This window comes from Homo sapiens, chromosome 20 (genome assembly GCF_000001405.40).
Source record: "Homo sapiens chromosome 20, GRCh38.p14 Primary Assembly".
Classification (NCBI taxonomy): domain Eukaryota; kingdom Metazoa; phylum Chordata; class Mammalia; order Primates; family Hominidae; genus Homo; species Homo sapiens.
In genome coordinates, this window is record NC_000020.11 from 25,343,123 (window position 1) to 25,364,483 (window position 21,361).

General features: G+C 43.3%; 1 protein-coding gene across 6 annotated transcripts in view, besides 3 other annotated features; it reads right to left on the bottom strand.

Moving 5' to 3' along the window:
* The window catches only part of ABHD12 (abhydrolase domain containing 12, lysophospholipase), a 96,093-nt gene that overhangs the window by 48,380 nt on the left and 26,352 nt on the right, over positions 1-21,361 (bottom strand). The gene's annotated exons all lie outside the window — the stretch shown is intronic.
* Positions 13,373-13,973: an enhancer, noted in NCBI's record as "OCT4-NANOG-H3K27ac-H3K4me1 hESC enhancer chr20:25337131-25337731 (GRCh37/hg19 assembly coordinates)". NCBI's record gives its function as "activates a minimal SCP1, AML or CMV promoter by ChIP-STARR-seq in primed H9 embryonic stem cells {active_cell/tissue: H9 hESC(primed)}" and the evidence as "EXISTENCE:reporter gene assay evidence [ECO:0000049][PMID:30033119]".
* Positions 13,974-14,573: an enhancer, noted in NCBI's record as "H3K27ac-H3K4me1 hESC enhancer chr20:25337732-25338331 (GRCh37/hg19 assembly coordinates)". NCBI's record gives its function as "activates a minimal SCP1, AML or CMV promoter by ChIP-STARR-seq in primed H9 embryonic stem cells {active_cell/tissue: H9 hESC(primed)}" and the evidence as "EXISTENCE:reporter gene assay evidence [ECO:0000049][PMID:30033119]".
* Positions 18,109-18,168: a silencer, noted in NCBI's record as "silent region_12748". NCBI's record gives its function as "represses an Ori minimal core promoter by ATAC-STARR-seq in GM12878 lymphoblastoid cells {active_cell/tissue: GM12878}" and the evidence as "EXISTENCE:reporter gene assay evidence [ECO:0000049][PMID:35858748]".

The following is a 21,361-nucleotide window of genomic DNA, read 5'->3' on the forward strand; positions in this document are numbered from 1 at the left end:
ACTGTTGTCTTAGACAAAACCTGCCAAAACTCACGTAAGAAATAGACAATCTGAACATGCCTGTTTCTATTAAATACATTCAATCAATAATTAACAACCTTCCAAAACAGAAATCACTGGGCCCAGATGGGTTCACTGGGGAATTCTACCAAACATTTAAGGAAGAAATTACACCAATTATCCGCAATCTCTTCCAAAAGATAGAAACAATCTCTTTTTAACTTATCCTATAAGCTCAGCATTACCCTAAATCAGACAAAGACATTACAAAAAAGAAGACTAAGCTGAGCCTAGTGGTATGTGCCTGTGATCACAGCTTCTTGGGAGGCTGAGGCAGCAGGATGGCTCCAGCCTAGGAGTTCAAGGCCAGCCTGGGCAACATCTTCAAAAAAAAGAATGAGGCCAGGCGTGGTGGCTCACGCCTGTAATTCCAGCACTTTGGGAGGCCAAGACGGGTGGATGACCTAAGGTCAGGAGTTCAAGACCACCTGGCCAACATGGGGAAATCCTGTCTCTACTGAAAATACAGCAATTAGCTGGGTGTGGTGGCAGGCATCTGTAATCCCAGCTACTTGGGAAGCTGAAGCAGGAGAACCTGGGAGGCGGAGGTTGCAGTGAGCTGAGATCGCACCACTGCACTCCAGCCTGAGCAACAAAGGAAGACTCTGTGTCAAAAAATAAAATTAATTAAAAAATAAAGAAAACTAAAGACCCATATTCTCATGAACATAAATGCAAAAATCCTCTAAAAAATATTAGCAAAGCAAATCCAACAATGTATAAAAAGAATTATACACTACGGCCAAGTGGGATTTGTCCCAGGTATGCAAGGCTAGTTCAACATATGAAAATCAATTAATGTAATACATCACATCAACAGGCTAAAAAAGAAAAATCACATGATCATATAAATAGATGCACAAAAAGCATGTGACAAAATCAACAACCATTCATGATTAAAAAGCCTCAGCACACTAGGAATAAAGGGGAACTTCCTCAACTTGATAATATCTACAAAAAACAGTTAACATCTTACTTAATGATGAAAAGCTTGAAGCTTTCCTGCTAAGATTAGGAACAAAGCAAGATTACACAATAAGATAAGAAAAGGAGATAACAGGTATAGAGACCCGGGAAGGAAAAATAAAACTTTGCAGATCACATGACTGTCTATGTATGTAGAAGATCTAAAACTTGGAACTAATTAGTGATTATAGCAAGGTTCCAGGATACGAGGTTAATATACATAAGCCAATAGTTTTCATATATACCAGCAATGTGAATCCAAAACATATTGCCATTTACATTAGCAACCCCCAAAATGAACTACTTAGATACAAATCTAACAAAATATGTACAAGATCTAATGAGGAAAACGATAAACTCTGATGAAACGTATAAAGGAAGAACTAAATAGATATTCCATCTTCATGGACAGGAAGGCCCAATATTGTCAATATGTCAGTTCTTCCCAACTTTATAGATTCAATATAATCCCAATCAGATCCCAGCAAGTTATTTCCCGGATATTGACAAACTGATCCTAAAGTTTATATGGAAAGGCAAAAGACTCAGGATAGACAGCATTAAAGGAGAAGAACAAACTTGGAGGACTGACACAAGCTGGCTTGAATACTTACAATAAAGCCACAGTAATCAAGACAGTGGTGTACTGTCAAAAATACCAACAGACCAAAGAGCCTAGAAATAGACCCACATAACTATAGTCGACTCATCTGTGACAAAGGAGCAAGGGCAATACAATGGAGCAAAGATGATCTTTTCCACAAATGGTGCTGTAACAACTGTACATTCGTATGGAAAAAAATGAAAGTAGACCTGATACCCTTCACAAAAATAAAACTCAAAATGAGTCATAGACCTAAATGTAAAAACAGAAAACTATAAAACTCCTAGGAGATAACAGAGAAAAAAATTTAGGTGAACTTGGGTATGACGAAGACTTTTTTTTTTTTTTCTGGAGATGGAGTCTCGCTCTGTCACCCAGGCTGAAGTGCAGTGGTGCCATCTCAGCTCACTGCAACCTTTGCCTCCCAGGTTCAAGCTATTCTCCTGCCTCAGCCTCCTGAGCAGCTGAGACTACAGGTGAGCGCCACCACATCCAGCTGATTTTTTGTATTTTTAGTAGAGACGGGGTTTCACCGTGTTAGCTAGGATGGTCTTGATCTCCTGATCTCATGATCCGCCCACCTCAGCCTCCCAAAGTGCTGGGATTACAGGCTTGAGCCACCGCGCCTGGCCGATGAAGACTTCTTAGATACAAAACCACCAAGGTATGATCCATGAAAGAAATATTAACAAGCTAGGTTTCATTAAAATTGAAATCTTCTGCTCTGTAAAAGACAATGTCAACAGAATGAGAAGATAAGCCACAGACTCGGAAAAACATATTAACAAAAGTATATCTGATGAAAGACAGTTATACAAAATATACAAAGAACTCTTAAAACTTGATAAGAAAATAAATAACTGGATTTTAAAAGGAGCAAAGGACCTGAACAGACACCTCTCCAAAGAAGATACACAGATGGCAAGTAAGCATATGAAAAGGTGTTCACATATGTAATCAGAGAAAGGCAAATTAAAACAATATACCACTACACACTATTAGAATGGCCAAAATGCAAAACACTGATAACACTAAATGCTAGGAGAATGTGGAGCAACAGGAATTCTCATTCATTCCCAGTGGGAATGCAAACATGGTACACAGACACTTGGGAAGACAGTTTGGCAACTCCTCACAAAACTACACATATTCTTACTATATGATCCAGCAGTCAGGCTCCTTGGTACTTACTCAAATAAATGAAAAATATATGTCCACACAAAAACTTGTAAACAGACATTTACAGCAGCTTTATTAATAACTGCCAAGAGTCTGGCAGTTATTAATAAATATAAGATAACCAAGGTAAGATGTCCTTTGATAGGTGAGTGAATAAATAAACTGGTACATCCGGACAATGGAATATTATTCAGTGCTAAACAGAAATCAGCAATCAAGCCATGAAAAGAACATGGCAGAAACTTAATATTATTTAGTGAAGCTTATTACTAAGTGAAAGAAGCTCATCTCAAAAGGCTACATACTATATGACTCCAACTATATGACATTCTGTAAAAGGTCAAACTATGGAGATGGCAAAAAGATTAGTGGTCATCCAGGGATGGGGTAGGGAGGGATGATCAGGAAGAACACAGATTTCTAGGGCAGTGAAACTATTGTGTATGATACTACAATGGTAAATAAGTATTATACATTTGTCGAAATCTCATAAAATGCACAACATCAAGAGTGAACCCTACTTAATGCAAACTATGGATTTGGGGTGATGATGTGTCAATGCAGGTTCACTGATTCTAGCAAATATGCCATTGCAGTGCAGGATGTGGATAGTGTGGCATACCATGTGTGGTAGGGGCGGGGCAGGAGTGTATGGGAAATTCTGTACTTTCCACTCAATTCTGCTGCAGACCTAAAACTGCTCTAAAAAATAAAGTTTATTTATTTATTTTGAGACGGAGCCTTGCTCTGTCGCCCAGGCTAGAGTGCAGTGGCGTGATCTCGGCTCACTGTAAGCTCTGCCTCCTGGGTTCACACCATTCTCCTGCCCTCAGCCTCCCGAGCAGCTGGGACTACAGGCGCCTGCCACCAAGCCCAGCTAATTTTTTGTGTTTTTAGTAGAGACAAGTTTCACTATGTTAGCCAGGATGGTCTCGATCTCCTGACCTTGTGATCCACCCGCCTCGGCCTCCCAAAGTGCTGGGATTACAGGTGTAAGCCACTGCGCCCGGCCAAGTTTATTAATTTTTTAAAAAGTCAACAACAATAAAATGTTACTCATAGCTGTCAAGTGTCTTTGGACTCCACAGAAAACCTGAAGCACAGGATGAGAGATGAGGGTGGTACGAGAATGGCAGTTAGTGTTCAGAGACTTGAGATGGAAACAAAAGTAAATATTACACGAAGAAATCCACAGAACCAGAAAGAGAAAACTACCTAATTTTGAAACCTTCACAGCTTACATATTAGAAGTTTTATATCATTATTTTTACCAGACAGACATATATTCCTGTAAATAATTAAGTTTTGCAAGAGTCTCATAAGGGACAGGAGTTTGTCATCTGGAAATACTGCCAGCATGCTGTTTTCAGCAGGGTACTCCCCAGCACCCTTCTCTCTCCTGGACTGCAACCATTATCTGTCTTTAAAACTGTACCAGGATGTGTGATTGGGGTATGCTTCTTTCTTTCTCTCTCATCCTGTGAGTTTTTTCTTCATTTAATTATGAACTACTAACTATATTATTTTAATACCTAAGAGTATAGTTCCCATAATAAAATTTATTTTTTCTAGATTCCATTTCAGTCAGTGTTATGGTCAAGGATAAATCTTGGCCAGGTGTGGTGGTTCACACCTGTAATCCCAGCACTTTGAGTGGCCAAGGCAGCAGGACGCCTTGAGCACCTTGAGTTTGAAACTGGCCTGGGCAAAACAGGGAGACTCTGTCTCTATAAAAAAAAAAATTAAAAATTAGCTGGGCACAGTGTGCATGCCTGTGGTCCCAGCTACTTAGGAGGCTAAGATTGGAGGATCACTTGAGCCCAGAAGGAAAGATAAATCTCTTCAGCAAGTCTGAAAATCTCTTGGAAAGGCAAATTCTGTAAGTCTATATTATACTTGAAAGGCATATCAGAAAAATAAAAATGTTTTCATGTTTTTAAAAAAAGTTCACATATGATGTTGGCTGTGGGTTTAGAAAAAAAAAAAAAAAGGAAAAAAGCCTGGGCGCAGGGTCTCACGCCTGGAATCCCAGCACTTTGGGAGGCCTAGGTGGGCAGATCACGAGGTCAGGAGATCAAGATCATCCTGGCCAACGTGGTGAAAACCCGTCTCTATCAAAAATACAAAAATTAGCTGGGCGTGGTGGCACACGCCTGTAGTCCCAGCTACTCGGGAGGCTGAGGCAGGAGAATCGCTTGAATCTGGGAGGCAGAGGTTGCAGTAAGCCGAGATGGCGCCACTGCACTCCAGCATGGGCAACAGAGCAAGACTCTGTCTCAAAAAAAAAAAGGAAAAAAGTTCACAGATAAAAACAACAAATACAAGAGCTAGTTCTTCGAGAAAAGGCAAGAAATAGACTAATAAGTTTTGGGCTAGAAAGAGAATATGAATATACAAAATCAGGGATCAAAAAGGTCAGATGGCCATAGAAGAGATTTTTATTTTTAATAAAGAATACTATGTACTTTGCTAAGCCAATACAATTTTGATAATTCAATGACACAAACCATTTGGTAAAAAAAAAAAAAAAAAAAAACAAATGCGCTGGGTGTGCTGACTTGAGCCTGTGGTCCCAGCTACCCGGGAGGCTGAGATGGGAGGATTACTTGAGCCTGGGAGGTTGAGGCTGCAATGAGCTGTGACTGAGCCTGTGACTAGCCATGACACTCCAGTCTGGGCAACAAAGCAAGGCTCCATCTCAATAAATAAGCAAGTAGCGACAACTCACTCAAATTGTGCGGAAAAAAACTAATTAAACCTTTCTCCAAAGGAGGTATTAGACAAAGCTATCAAAGAATTACATCCCTGAAAGCCACTAATCCCAGAAGGACTGACAAGCATTTCCCCCTAAATTCTAACAAATAGATATTGGCGGTTGCGGTGGCTCACGTCTGTAATCCCAGCACTTTGGGAGGCCGAGATGGGCGGATCACGAGGTCAGGAGATTGAGACCACCCTGGCTAACACGGTGAAACCCCGTCTCTACTAAAAATACAAAAAAAATTAGCCGGGCATGGTGGCAGGCGCCTGTAGTCCCAGCCACTCGGGAGGCTGAGGCAGGAGAATGGTGTGATCCTGGGAGGCGGAGCTTGCAGTGAGCCGAGATCGCGCCACTGCACTCCAGCCTGGGCAACAGAGCGAGACTCCGTCTCAAAAAAAAAAAAAAAAGAAAAAAAGAAACAGATATTGTATCATACAATCTGGCAAAACGGGGAAAATAAGAGAGCACATTAAAAATCAAAGCTGGCTTTAGTATAATGTGAAAATGGAATCAATATAGCACCACAAAGCAAACTACCAAGAGTTTCAAATATGAAGAGATACACACATGCTGGGAGTATAAAAACGAATCAGGTAGGAATATAAAATAGTCCAGCTGCTATGGAAAACAGTTTGGCCATTCCTCAAAAAGTTAAGCCTAGAATTACTATATAATCTAGCAATTCCACTCCTCGATATATACTCCAAAGAACTGATATCAAGGACTGAAATAGATACTTGTAGACCAATGTTCATAGCAGCATTATTCATAATAGTCAAAAGGTGGAAGTAACCCAAGTGTCCATCAGCAGATGAATAAATTGACAAATGAACAGATGAATGGATACACATGCAATGGAGTATTATGTAGCCATAAAAAGAATGAAATTTGGATGCATGCTACAACATGGATGAACTTTTAAAACATTATGCTAAGTGAAATAAGCCAGACACAAAGGATAAATATTATATGATTCCATTTATGTGATGTACCTAGAATAGGCAAATTCATACAGACAGAAAGTCTAACAGTGCTTACCAGGAGTTGTGGGAAGGGGAAAATGGGGAGGTATTGCTTAACGGTTTCAGAGTTTCTATTTGGGATGGTGAAAAGTTCTGGAAATGAATGGTGGTGATGTTTGCACAACAATGTGAAAGTATTTAATGCCACTAAATTATACACCTCAAAATGGTTAAAATGGTAAGTTTTATGTTATATATATTTCATCCCAATAAAAAATGAAATCTAGGGAACATAATGAAAGGCTAACATAATATCACCAAATAGGTTTTATTTCAGGAGCAAACATATCAGCTGCATCAATAGTGAGGATAAAAGAGGGGCTTACAAAGTTAGTAAAATTCAACATGTAGTCCCAATAATAAAACCCCTAGTGAAATAGGAATACAGGACATTCCCTTAGGATGATCAAGTTTATACCTGCTTCAAACCAGTAATCAAACCAAAGCAAAACATAGCAGTAAAATACTAGACAGAGATAGGATATTCACTAGCATCACTGTTATTAACACTATTCTGGAAGTGCAAGTTAAAACAATAAGGCAAGAGAAAATACAAAGTATAACCATAAAAACTGGAAGATAAAAAAATAGTTGTCGTGTTATGATTTGGCTGTGTCCCCACCTAAATCTCATCTTGAATTGTAATGATCCCCATGTGTCAAAAGTGGGGCCAGGTACAGATAACTGAATCATGGGGACAGTTTCCCCCATACTGTTTCTCATGGTAGTAAGTCTCACAAGATCTGGTGGTTTTATAAATGGGAGTTCCACTGCACAAGCTCTCCTGTGTGCCGCCATGTAAGATGTGACTTTGCTTCTCCTTTGCCTTCCACCATGATAGTGAGGGCTCCCCAGCCATGTGGAACTGTGAGTCCATTAAATCTTTTTCCTTTATAAATTACCCAGTCTCAGGTATGTGTTTATTAGCAGCGTGAGAACAGACTAATACAGTAAATTAGTACCCCAAGAGTACTAAAAATAAAATCCTAAGCCCCTCAACAGACTCAATGGACCCCCTTTGGGGATCCCAGAGAAACCTGTTAACAGAATTACAGCAAATGCAGAAAGACATCTTATCTGAACTTCCCTTACCTGACTAGAGCAGAACTTTATGACAGTCAGCTGCCACAAACCTCCTGCTCTGGGAAGATCTCCAGTCAGGCTGATGATTGACCTTGGATACCAGAGCATTTAAAAAAAAGCTGTAGAAAAGCCTCATCAGAGGCTTCCATCCTACGAATCCTTCACACACACACACACACACACACACACACACACACACACACACACACACACCCTTATTAAGCTGGTATATAAACCTTCACCTCTTCTTCAGAGAGCTACTCTCTCTTAGAGTATTGCCATATGCATAATAAACATTTCTTCTGTTGATCTGTCTATTGTCATTTAATTCACAGTCCCCCTAACAATTTGGATCTAAGTTGGTGGAAGAAAGGTTTTTTTCTTCCCAACAGTGACATCATTGGATCTGGTTGTCTTTCTTCTCCAATATGATGGATTCCTGCCAGCAAAGACTTTGTCTTTCACCTTTGTCTCCAAGGCACTTAACTCAATGCCAGGCTCATAGTTTGTGCTTGATGAACCCATAATCAAAGAATTACTGTCCCATGATTAGTGCAAAAAAAGGATCAGAACCACCATCACTTTCTTTGGGCTTCCACTGTACTTAAGAGTTTCACACCTTTTTCTGTTTCACAGTGTGTGTCTTGTTCCCATTGAAATAACTGCATTGGAAGTCACTTTGCTTGACAGTCACTTGGCTGTGTACTGCAGCCTCCTATAACATTTACAAAATACTGATGCTTGGGACTTGCCCTGGAAAGTCTAATTTTATTGGCCTCAAGTTGACCCTGGCCCTTAGGCTCTAGACTAGGACTTTTATTATCATTTAAAATAAACTGGACAGCACGGTGGTTCGCCTATAATCCCAGCACTTTGGGAGGCCAGGCGGGTGGATCACCTGAGGTTGGGACCTGACCAACATGGAGAAACCCTGTCTCTACTAAAAATACAAAATTAGCAGGGGGTGGTGGCACATGCCTGTAATCCCACCTACTCGGGAGGCTGAGGCAGGAGAACTGCTTGAACTCAGGGGGTGGAGGTTGAGGTGAGCTGAGATTGCACCGTTGCATCCCAGCCTGGGCAACAAGAGAGAAACTGTGTCTCAAAACAAAAAAACAAAACAAAACAAAAAAACTACACACTGTATCTAACATGGTGCTAGGCACAGTAAACAACCACATTTGATTATTTTTTATTTTATTTTTATTTTTTGAGACAGAGTCTCTCTCTGAAGCCCAGGCTGGAGTGCAATGGCATGATCTCGGCTCACCGCAACCTCCACCTCCTGGGTTCAAGAGATTCTCTAGCCTCAGCCTCCCAAGTAGCTGGGATTACAGGTGCCTGCCACCATTCCTGGCTAATTTTTGTATTTTTAGTAGAGATGAGGTTTCACCACATTGGCCAGGCTGGTCTCAAACTCTTGACCTCATGTGATCCACTCGCCTTGGCCTCCCAAAGTGTTAGGATTACAGACATGAGCCACCGCACCTGGCCTTTTATATTATTTTTGAGACGGAGTCTCGCTCTGTTGCCCAGGCTGGAGTACAGTGGCAGGATCCCAGCTCACTGCAACCCCCACCTCATGGATTCAAGCGATTCTCCTGCCTCAGCCTCCCAAGTAGCTGGGACTACAGGCACGTGCCACCACACCTGGCTAATTTTTGTATTTTTTAGTAGAGACAGGGTTTCACCATGTTGGCCAGGCTGGTCTCGAACTCCTGACCTCAGGTGATCTACCCACCTCGGCCTCCCAAAGTGCTGGGATTACAGGCATGAGTCACCATGCCTGGCACAACCACATTTGTTTATTAAAGTGATAGGCTAAATGAAGGGACTGCTAATTAAGTGACTATCTGTATCTCTCAAGCTCAGGACAGTGTTCTTGAAAAGCGTATCTATTTATTGTACATATCTATCAAAAAGATTTCTCAAAATTAAAATGAATTCTAATTAAAATACATACAGGCCAGGCATGGTAGCTGATGCCTATAATTCCAGCACTTTGGGAGGCCAAAGCAAGAGAATAGCTTGAGGACAGGAGTTCAGGACCAGCCTGGGCAACACAGTGAGACCAGGTGTCTTAATTTAAAAAAAAAATTAACGAGATGTGGTGGTGTGTACCCATAGTCCCAGCTACTCTGAAGGCTGAGTCTGTAGTGAGCTATGATCACGTCACTGCACTCAAGCCTGGGCAAGAGTGAGACTCTGTCTCTATTTTTATAAATAAACAAACAGAGCCTCCAAAATTGGTGATTTTAAATTAGCAGCTCTATCGCCACCACAGTTCTGTCATCTAATTATGAAGGACACATACAAATAATCTGTAAATGAAAATTAGCTAGTTTAAAAATTGAATCTCTAAGTAATACCAAAATAACAGACAAAATAAATCAGAAATCTCATATAATGCTTTTTCCAAATTCTAGAGCTGAGGGCAAGCCATAGGTGTTTTTTTTGTTTGTTTCTGTTTTTTTTTTTCCTGGCAAACATGCCATGTTTAATATACCTTTAAAGTTAATTCCCAAAGTGTGAACAAGTATCTGTAAATGAAAGTAAATAACTCAAACAAAAAATTTAAAGAATAAGCAAATTTATAAGCAGAATATGTAAATATTTAAGCAGAATATGCAGCATTACCTTCTAACTCTTCCAAAAGACAATGCTCTCAAAACATGTGTTTGGGAATATGGTTATTTATGCAGCACTCAGGAGGGCACACAGATAAAGGCCCCAAAGGGAAAAACACAGCTGAACCTAAGCCTGACCCAGCTGTATTCTGTACAGGCTGGGCTGCTGCTGGGTTCACTTTAGAGCAGGACTGAGAATGTTAGCTTCTACCCCCGGCAGGCAGACCCTTGGCTCTTACGGGAGAGTTGCTGTGATCCTTCCAAGGTCCAGGAAATAAGCAAGCACCCGAGGCATAGAGAAATTAAAATTTGTCTTGGGCCTAGAGACCATAGCCTGCCTGGGCCAACGGCTGTCTGCACACCTTGGGACACACTGCTCACTTCGCCTTCCTGGCCTTTCCTTCTGTCCTCTGCAGAACCAAACTCAACGTCAGGCCGTGGTTTCTGCTCATCAAAGAATGACTGCTGCGTGATCACTAACGTGCCACCACCTGCACTTCAGTGTCTCAAGGTCTCCCCTGCCGCTGACATTTGGAACAGGCTGGTCAGGATACTGAGGATGCTGGACTCTCCTTCGCAGTGGTCTTTGTATAAACCCAAGGGGAATGGGAATTTGGAGACAAAGGAAGCCATCCTGGAGCGGCCAAATAAAGCCTTTAATCTTTAAGGACGGGGAGGTTCTTATTTCAAGACCTAAAGCAAATTCCTAAGTGAATAAACAAATGGGTAGGAATTTATAGCCTCAATAAATCAACTAAGTTGAATGTAGCACTAGATCATATTTGGCAGTAAAGCAAAAACCAAAAACCAGAATCTGGCCTGAAGGGCTGTTCCCACCTGTGGTGCCAGTTCACAGGTGTAGCGGCAGAAGACGGACACAGGGTGCACACTGTCCTGGAGGCAGGAAACAGGCAGGCAGGAAGGTCTGGGGAGAACTGGGGGGCAGGGAGGCAGGGAGGGGGTCACCCCACTGACCCCAGCTCTGGTGACAGAATACGTTCTACATTTTTATGGCCCAGTTTTTAAACATTCTGGTTTTTCAGCATCGATTGCCACTGTTTGCTATTCATGCCTCATAGTCTAAAAGGCTGTACATAAGCCACGTGTTACAGATGAAAAGCTGAGGCTTGTGTACAAGATGCACTGTCCATTGGAACTGGACACAGCCCATCTTTCCTGATGGCCATGATGAGGACCCTTTTGGTTCCCCATTTACACAACCACAGGATCCCAAATGGATGGTGAAAGACAGTGACACCAAAAGAAATCTGACAAGCCAAACTATTAAGTGCAATAAAATCCTAAGATAGAATTGTTATAATTAGAAAAAAAAATTACTATTTTAGAAAAAAAAAATTAACTTGTCTGGTTTCCTCAGCTTTTGACTGTCGTATTTTCTTAGAATGACAGTGTTTGGCCTCCCTCCAGCAGTTCAGAATTAGAAACCTACCCCAATCACATCTATCCCTTCTTTTACCTGACTTTGCTTTCTCTTTCCTATCTCTTTCTTCTCTTTCTGTACTTTCTGAACAGATACTCAAGCATAATTAGACTACTTTGAAGAACAAAGACATTATTTCCTAAGAGGTCTGAGCTGTCAATGATTTTGTATTTGGATCAGGAAACAGGAAAAGTAAAGGTACAATCACTCCAGAGGGCCCCCACTCTCAAATAATGCAGCACATTCCTGCTAAGCTACAGTGGGGTGTTCTGGGCACCACTGGATTCACTGGTGCCACATCATGCATGTACACAACTGATGTTTTCCATCCTGACGACCTGCAGGCTGGACGACACTTAATGCAGCCCCTCCAGACTACAAGAAGAGCACTTCCATTCCCTGCTGCTGCCTATCAAAGAGAAATATGCAGAAAACAAAGATTTTAAAAAACAGACCCTGTCCCCAGTTTTAAGGGCAATATAGAAAAAAAAAGCTGAGCTCATCATGCTTAAGAAGAAATGCTGTGTCCCTGAACTCAATCTAGAAAGCTTTCTGTTGCCACTTCCCCCTTTTTGTTTTTACCATTTCCTGCTAAAAGAGTAAAACATTTTCTTTGGGAAATTTAAAGGGTTTTTTTGTTGTTTTGTACTTTGATTTCCCATACTGCATTTGACAAAGTATAAACGGTTTTTTTTTTGTTGTTTGTTTGTTTTTGAGACAGTCTTGCTCTGTCACCAGGCTGGAGTGCAGTGGCACGATCCCAGCTCACTGCAACCTCCGCCTCCCGGGTTCAAGCCATTCTCCTACCTCAGCCTCCCGAGTAGCTGGGATTACAGGCACCCACCACCATGCCCAGGTAATTTTTGTATTTTTAGTAGAGACGGGGTTTCACCATGTTGGCCAGGATGGTCTCAATCTCCTGATCTCGTGATCCACCGGCCTCAGCCTCCCAAAGTGCTGGGATTACAGGCGTGAGCCACTGCGCCCAGCCCATAAAGGGTATTTTTAAGAAAAAAAAGTTTCACTGCATGCCACCAAATAAAAGTTGTCATTTATATTTCAGGAGGCTGACTTCCTTTTGCATGCTTTGAGCTGTGAAACTGGGCCAATAATAGGAGGTACTGATGGACAGACACAGAGTCCTTTCCTGAGAGAACAAAAGCCATTCTAACAACCAGGGGAGCCCACAAGATCATCTGTGTTGATGAAGCCTGTTTCTATTGATGCAGTTTCTGCGCTTGGTGGTGATGAAGAAGGGCATACCCTGAGTGTACTATGTAAAGCCTTCCCATCAAACAGCATCTGTAAAACTGCAAGGGAAAAAACACATCCAGGGTCAGACATTTATGGTAGCTCCTCTAGGTCTCCACTCTTGCACCTGAGACTGCGGAGGTTTTGCTTCCCACGGGGGCACAGGGCTCCTTAGGTTGCCACATATCAATAAACACTCAGTGCCTGCAAGAGGCTTTTCTATCAGCTCAGCCAGGCAGATGGCCACCTGTCTGCTTTCAGAGGTGGCAGATGGCTTTCCCAGGCGCTGCTCTTGCACACTTTCCTTGCAGGGTGCAGGTCCCTCTGTGGATATCCCTTAGATTACAGGACTGGGAGGTGTGGGCCTTCAGGGCCTTGCTGAACAGCAGCTGGGCAGGGAGTGTGGCAGAGGTGCCAGCGTTCCCTCTGCCAGTTTGACAGTGATTTCCTTTTCCTCCTACTGTCCAGGGTAACTGTTTGAACAACCTGCCCTGGTTCCTTTGACGGGGGAGGAAGAGAGGGCTGGGCCCTCAGTCTGAGGACTTTAAAAGCCCTGCGGAGCACCAGGAGCACTGTGGCAGAGTGGCAGGTGGCAGAGTGGTAGGAGAGGGGTCTCCAGAGCCTCTGACTGTGATGGAATCTGCCCTAATGGGCTGCTGTGCATATGAATGAGGCAGGAAGGGAAATGCTTAGCGAGGCAGGCATCTCGAATGAGGACTGGGCAGTGAGCAGCACAATGAGGCCGCACAGTGCACGCACCTGTAATCCCAGCACGTTGGGAGGCCAAAGTAGGAGAACTACCTGGGACAGGAGCTCAAGGCCAGCCTGGGCAATATAACAAGACTCTGCTCTCTACAAATGAACAAAGAAAGACACAGTAAACTGAACTAAATAGGTCTCCTCAGAGGTTGGGGAAATATAACTAGAAGGCCCGATATTTCCTTCCCAGACTCCAGAGACTATGTCTGGGGTCAATGCCCCCTTAATCCTGCCAAGGGCCTCTAAAACTGGTCCAGGACCCTGTGCCCCATGCTGCTGTCCCCTCTCTAGCACTTCCTCACCCAACCCCTGACTCTCCAGCGCCTTTCAGTCTCTCGCAGGGGCCCCAAATCTTCTGCCTCCTCCAAACATATGCTTCACTGCTATTCTCGAAAGTCCCCTGGCCATCCAGCCTAATCAGGCTCTCTCACCATGTTGTGTCAGACTCACTCCTTTCCCTTCTGTCTGCAACAAAACATTTATCTCTAACATGATGGACAGAATCTCTCCCCACGAATAAGTAGCGTAGCTCTTGTTGTCAATACTCTATCACCAGTGCCCAGAATTTGGATGCTCAAGAAGTATTGGTGGGATGAAGCTAATGAATGAGGTCTGCAGTTTCTATCGTGAACCACTTTCTCATTAGGTAGAAAAATTGGTTCTGTAGGATAAGATGAGTTTCTTAAACACAACTTGGACCATTCAAAATATGTTCAAGGGAAAGTAAGAATTTATAAAAAATTTAAGATTCAAGTGATATAAATATTATGCAACATATATATAAAAGGCAAACATCACACAAATTTCAATCTCACCCATCAACTGACAGACATTCATAATAATATCACCTAATGGCCAGGTGCAGTGGCTCACACCTGTAATCCCAGCACTTTGGAAGGACAAGGCAGGAGGATCACTGGAGCCCAAGAGTTCAAGACCAGCCTGGACAACATGGCAAAACCCTGCCTCTACAAACAACACAAAAATTAGCTGGGTGTCATGACACGTGCTTGTAGTTCCAGTTACTCAGGAAGCTGAGGTGGGAGGATTGTTTGAGCCTGGGAGGTCGAGACTACAATGAGCCAAGACCATGCCACTGCAGTCCAGCCTGGGTGACAGAGTGAGACCCTGTCTCAAAAACAGTAATAATAATAATACCATCTAATGACAGCAGGGGTGGGGGAAATGGGCACTGAGGCTCTCTTGGTAGGAAGGCAAACTTTCCTAATCATGTTGGAAGTCACATTGGCAACAGTTTCAAAATTTTAAATATTCATACTCTTTGACCCATCAAATCTCAAATTACGCTAAATAATTGGACACTAACAAAGGAACAAAAGTTAGACATATGAAAGTTGCTAATAATAGCAGGAAGAACTAGGAAGAAGCCAATTGTCCATCAATAGGAAGCTAATTAAATAAACGATGAGCCCATTTAGCACAAGGATGCTGGGTGCACATCATATAGGATCTTTACTGGCAAAGTCAGTGACTATTCTTCTAAAATTTCCCTGAAGTCATGATATGCTGCAGGCAGGAGTTTCTTCCAGCTACCATTCCACCAACTGTTGGTCTATCCTCATGGGCAACAGTGAAGTTTGTGAAGGCCTCCTAACATTACTGCCTGTTTCCTCACTGGTCTGCATTTTATCCCTCTTTCTTTGCTTCTGTACAAGCAAACTAGCACCATCACCTGCACACCCTCTTCAGTATGTGTCAAAACACAGCAAGTACCCAGAAGAGGCAACAAAGGTACAAACTCCACATCTGCAGGCCTCAGGCTAGGAGGTGGCAGGAGACCTATGCAGACCTATGCAGAGTGCATAGGGTGGCACTCCGGGCACACGTGAACTTGGACCCCTTGTCCATATCGGCCACCCCCCAGAACACCTTTCAGGGTCAGACAGCACTGTGCCACACCAGTGCCAAGGGAGGCTGGCATCCATGGGATAAGGAGGTGCTATGTAGTCATTCAAAGCAATGCCATCTCTATGTGAAGACCTGGATGAAAATCCAGAATATAGTGGTTTTACAGCTTATAAAATCATATGTGAAAATGCAAAAATATAGGTGTATGAACAGTGTGAAAAGTTATAACCAAAATGTTAACAATAGTTACTGTTAAATTAATCTGGAATTATTTTAGCATATACGAGATGACAAAACTATTTTCTCCCAAACAAGTATACAATTACCCTAGCATGCATTAATGATGCCTCCTTTGTAAAAAAAAAAAAAAAAAAATTGCATATAACATTTCTATTGGCCGGGCGTGGTGGCTCACGCTTGTAATCCCAGCACTTTGGGAGGCCGAGGCGGGTGGATCACGAGGTCAGGAGATCGAGACCATCCTGGCTAACACGGTGAAACCCCGTCTCTACTAAAAATACAAAAAAAAATTAGCCGGGCGTGATGGCGGGCGCCTGTAGTCCCAGCTACTCGGGAGGCTGAGGCAAGAGAATGGCGTGAACCCGGGAGGCGGAGCTTGCAGTGAGCCGAGATTGCGCCACTGCACTCCCGCCTGGGCCACAGAGCGAGACTCCGTCTCAAAAAAAAAAAAAAAAAAAAAACATTTCTATTTCACTGTTTCTTCTATACATTTTTAAAAATCAGAATAACATGCTGCTCTAATCACTGTGGTTAATGACAAAATATCTCATATTATCTTCTCATTACTGATGTATAATAACTTTGTCTAGGTGGGGGTAAGCAGGGAAAGAATTTTGCTCTGTCGCCCAGACTGGAGTGCAGTGGTGCGATCTCGGCTCACTGCAACCTCCATCTCCCAGGTTCAAGCAATTCTCATGCCATAGCCTCCCAAGTAGCTGGGACTACAAGCATGTACCACCATGCCTGCTGAGTTTTTTTATTTTTAGTAGAAACAGGGTTTCACCATGTTGGCCAGACTGGTCTTGAACTCCTGGCCTCAAGTGATCCTCCCACCTCAGCCTCCAAAAAGTGCTAGGATTATAGGCGTGAGCCACTGTGCCTGGCCAAGAACTTTTTATATTAAGGATGCTAAATCTTTGTCTGACATTATAGAAGTGTACGTTAAAAATATTTCCCTCTATCATTTGTCTCTTTTATTTAGGATTTTTTAAATTAAGGACCATTTTAAATTTTTATGTATTTCTACTCTATTCATCTTTTTCTTTATGGTTTCTTGATGTTCTCCTCTGTCCTTGAGAGTGGGTAAATATTCTTTTTATTTTAGGGCTTTACACTTTACATTCAGTCTCTCTGGAATTTATTTTGGTATATAGTGGGACGTAGGATTCTAAATTTCTGTATCTCTAAATAGTTACCCAAGCAATTCTTCACTGTGTTTAAATTGCCACCTTGAACACGTTACTTTTTTTTTTTTTTTTTTTTTTTTTTTTTTTGAGATGGAGTCTCACTCTGTCACCCAGCCTGGAGTGCAGTGGTGCGATCTCGGCTCACTGCAACTTCCGCCTCCCAGGTTCAGGCAATTCTCCTGCCTCAGCCTCCCAAGTAGCTGGGATTACAGGCATGCACCACCACGCCCGACTAATTTTTGTATTTTTAGTAGAGACAGGGTTTCACCATATTGGCCAGGCTGGTCTTGAACTCCTGACCTCGTGATCTACCCGCCTTGGCCTCCTAAAGTGCTGGGATTACAGGTGTGAGCCACCATGCCCCGGCCACACATGTTACAGTCTTATGTTTGAGGCTAAAGATGGTAGATTTAACTATTTCCTCTTAAAATGCCACTAAAATGACAGTAAAATTTTAAAAGGATATAAAACCATAGTGGTCAGAATGAGAGGAGAGACACCAATACCACATTAGAAGCTGGAAAACAGAAGGACAGGAATTAAGGTGACAGATCCAGAAAAGTCCAAAACCAGCACAGGGGAAGACAAGGCACATGAACCAACAGCACCAGGTACCCGTGGCGGGAGGATCAGGTGGAGGCCAGGATCAGGCGGACAACTGGAAAAACCCGTCTGGGCTTCTACCTCACTGAACAGAGTGGGGCCACTGCCCCAATTCATCAAGAGACTGAAGATTTATTCTCTGCAGAGGGTAAACCATAGAAGGTTTGGACTACGAAGGCCAGATACACTAAAAGCAGAAGTATGTTAAAGTTTAGAAAACAGTGTGGAGAACCCCCAGCCATCTTCCGCAGCTCTCAGAGAGCTGGAAGCTGGACACAGGCCAAGGTGAGCTTAGCAACAAAAGATACAGGGCCCACCGCCCCTGCAATCCCACGCTAAGCGGCTGCTGAACCTCCAGTCCCTGGTCCACACTGAAGCTTGCCGTCTGCAACCACAGAATCCCCATGTTGCCAGACTCACTCAGGCCCCTGCACTCTGACTTCCCTAGACAGGAAGCTGAGTCTGACCAATCCCAGCCAGAACTGCATGAAATCTATTTGAAAAAGGAACAGTATCTTTTCAATATTGTATGTTCTCATCTAAAAACAAACTGTATCTTTCCACTTAAATATTATGTCTCTCAGTAAAGTTTAATGATTTTCTTGATAAACAGTCTATGCGTGTTTTTTGTTTTTTTTTGAGACAGAGTCTCACTTGCTCACCCAGGCTGGAGTGCAGTGGTGCGATCTCAGCTCACTGGAATTACAGACATGCGCCACCTCGCCTAGGTAACATTCTATGTATTTCTTATGTAATTCTTAGATGTGTATTTTGTTGTTGCTATTGCTACTGTGAAATAAAAGTTTATCCTGTTCCATCTTTCCAGCCAGCTGGTTACTGGTATATAAGAAAGCTATCAGTTGGTATATTTATTTTGCATTTGAAAATCTTACACCTGGGACCGGGCGTGGTGGCTCACGCCTGTAATCCTAGCACTTTGGGAGGCCGAGACGGGTGGATCACGAGGTCAGGAGATCGAGACCATTCTGGCTAACACGGTGAAACCTCGTCTCTACTAAAAATACAAAAAAATAGCTGGGCGTGGTGGCGGGCGCCTGTAGTCCCAGCTACTCGGGAGGTTGAGGCAGGAGAAGAGCGTGAACCCAGGAGGCGGAGCTTGCAGTGAGCCAAGATCCCGCCACTGCACTCCAGCCTGGGGGACAGAGCGACACTCCGTCTCAAAACACACACACACAAAAAAAGAAAAGAAAATCTTACACCCGGGCACGGTGGCTCATGCCTGTAATCCCAGCACGTTTGGAGATCGAGGCGGGTGGATCACATGAGGTCAGGATTTTGAGACTAGCCTGGCCAACATGGTGAAAACCCGTCTCTACTAAAAATACACAGAAAAAATTAGCTGGGCGTGGTGGCACATGCCTGTAATTCCAGCTACTCAGGAGGCTAAGGCAGGAGAAGCACTTGAACCCAGCAGGCGGAGGTTGTGGTGAGCCAACATTGTGCCATTGCACTCCAGCCTGGGCAACAGAGCAAGACTCTGTCAAAAAAGAAAGAAAAGGCCGGGCACAGTGGCTTACAATCCCAGCACTTTGGGAGGCCCAGCTGGGTGGATAACGAGGTCAGGAGTTCAAAACCAGTCTGGCCAAGATGGTGAAACCCCGTGTCTACTAAAAATACAAAAATCAGCCGGGCGTGGTGGCGGGTGCCTATAATCCTATCTACTCGGGAGGCTGAGGCAGAGAATTGCTTGAACCCCGGAAATGGAGGTTGCAGTGAGCTGAGATCGCGCCACTGCACTCCAGCCTAGGTCACAGAGCGAGACTCTGTCTCAAAAAGAGACAGAAGGGCAGGGGAGGACAGGGGAGGGGAGGGGAGGGAAGGACAGGGGAGGGGAGGGGAGGGGACTCCATGAGTTTTGAGAATTTTTACTTGTTTTTTTTTTTGTCGTTGTTTTTTGAGACGGAGTTTCGCTCTTGTTGCCCAGGCTAGAGTGCAATGGCGCGATCTTGGCTCACCACAACTTCCAACTCCCGGGTTCAAGCAATTCTCCTGCCTCAGCCTCCCGAGTAGATGGGATTGCAGGCGTGCACCACCACCCCCGGCTAATTTTGTATTTTTACTAGAGACAGGTTTCTCCATGTTGGTCAGGCTACTCTCGAAGTCCCAACCTCAGGTGATCTGCCCACCTCGGCCTCCCAAAGTGCTGGGATTACAGGCGTGAACCACTGTGCCCAGCCTTTTACTTGATTTTTTTTTTGGAGTTTTTCAAGTAGAAAGTCACTGCAATCAATGGCAATTTTGACTCCTCCTTTTTATAAGGGTTATCTATTTCTCATCTTCCAATAATGTCTAGAACATTCAGAGTATTTTATAGTAGAGGTGAGAACAAATAAAAAGTATTATTTATTTGAATTTCCATTCATTTAACAAATATTTATCAAGTGTTCACCAGGTGCCAGCAGTAAATAAAATGATTGACATTTTACTTTTTTTTTTTTTTTTTTGAGACAGTCTCGCTCTGTTGCCAGGCTGGAGTGCAGTGGTGCAATCTTGGCTCACCACAACCTCCGCCTCCCAGGTTCAAATGATTCTCCTGCCTCAGCCTCCCGAGTAGCTGGTATTACAGGTACACGCACCCACGCCCAGCTAATTTTTGTATTTTTAGTAGAGACGGGGTTTCACCATGTTGGCCAGGATGGTGTGCATCTCCTGACCTCGTGATCCACTCGCCTCGGCCTCCCAAAGTGCTGGGAGAGCAGGCGTGAGTCACCGCACCTGGCTGACATTTACTTTTCATTATAATGTTGGTTGATGAGATGGATGCCTTTAATCAATATTTAATTTTAAGGGGGCAGGCACGGTGGCTCATTCCTGTAATCTCAGCGTTTTGGGAGGCCAAGGCAGGTGGATTACCTGAGGTCAGGAGTTTGAGACCAGCCTGACCAACATGGTGAAACCCCATCTCCACTAAAATACAAAATTAGCTGGGCATGGTGGCACATGCCCGTAATCTCAGATACTTGGGAGGCTGAGGCAGCAGAATCGCTTGAACCCAGGAGGCGGAGGTTGCAGTGAGTTGAGATTGCGCCATTGCACTCCAGCCTGGGCAATAAGGGAGAAACTCTGTCTCAAAAAAACAACAAAAAAAAGAAATTAATTTTAAATGCAGTATGTGGGCAACTTATCAATGAAGAATTAGAAATGAAGGTGCAAAAAAAAGCTTTAGAATAAACAAACACAAGCATCTGCATTTTCATCCAGTTGAAAATCTCTAAGCCCTAAGGCTCCTTGTGCTGAGAATGGAGCAGGAAAACCTCCTCCCCACTACTGTATCCCACAGGCCTGATCATCAGGACAGGTCACAGGCCCCAGGACCCTGCCTTTCAGCCTTCCGGGTCAAGGCCATACTAAGACTCTCCTAAACTAGCTCTCAAAATCATTCGCCTTCACTTTTTATTCAAACAAAACAAAAACTCATGATAAGACAATATTCTAGAAATTTATCTTCAGATGACAAAGGTGCCTTAGTCCATTTTTGTGTTGCTATATTAGGAATACCTGAGGCTAGGTAATTTATAAAGAAAAGAGGTTTATTTGGCTCACAGTTCTGCAGGCTAGACAAGAAGCATGGTGCCCACATCCACATCTGGTGATGGCTTCAGGTTGCTTCCACTCAGGGTGGAAAGCAAGGGGATGTGGTGGGCAGAGATCGCAGAGCAGAGGGGAGGGAAGGTGCCAGGCTCCTTTT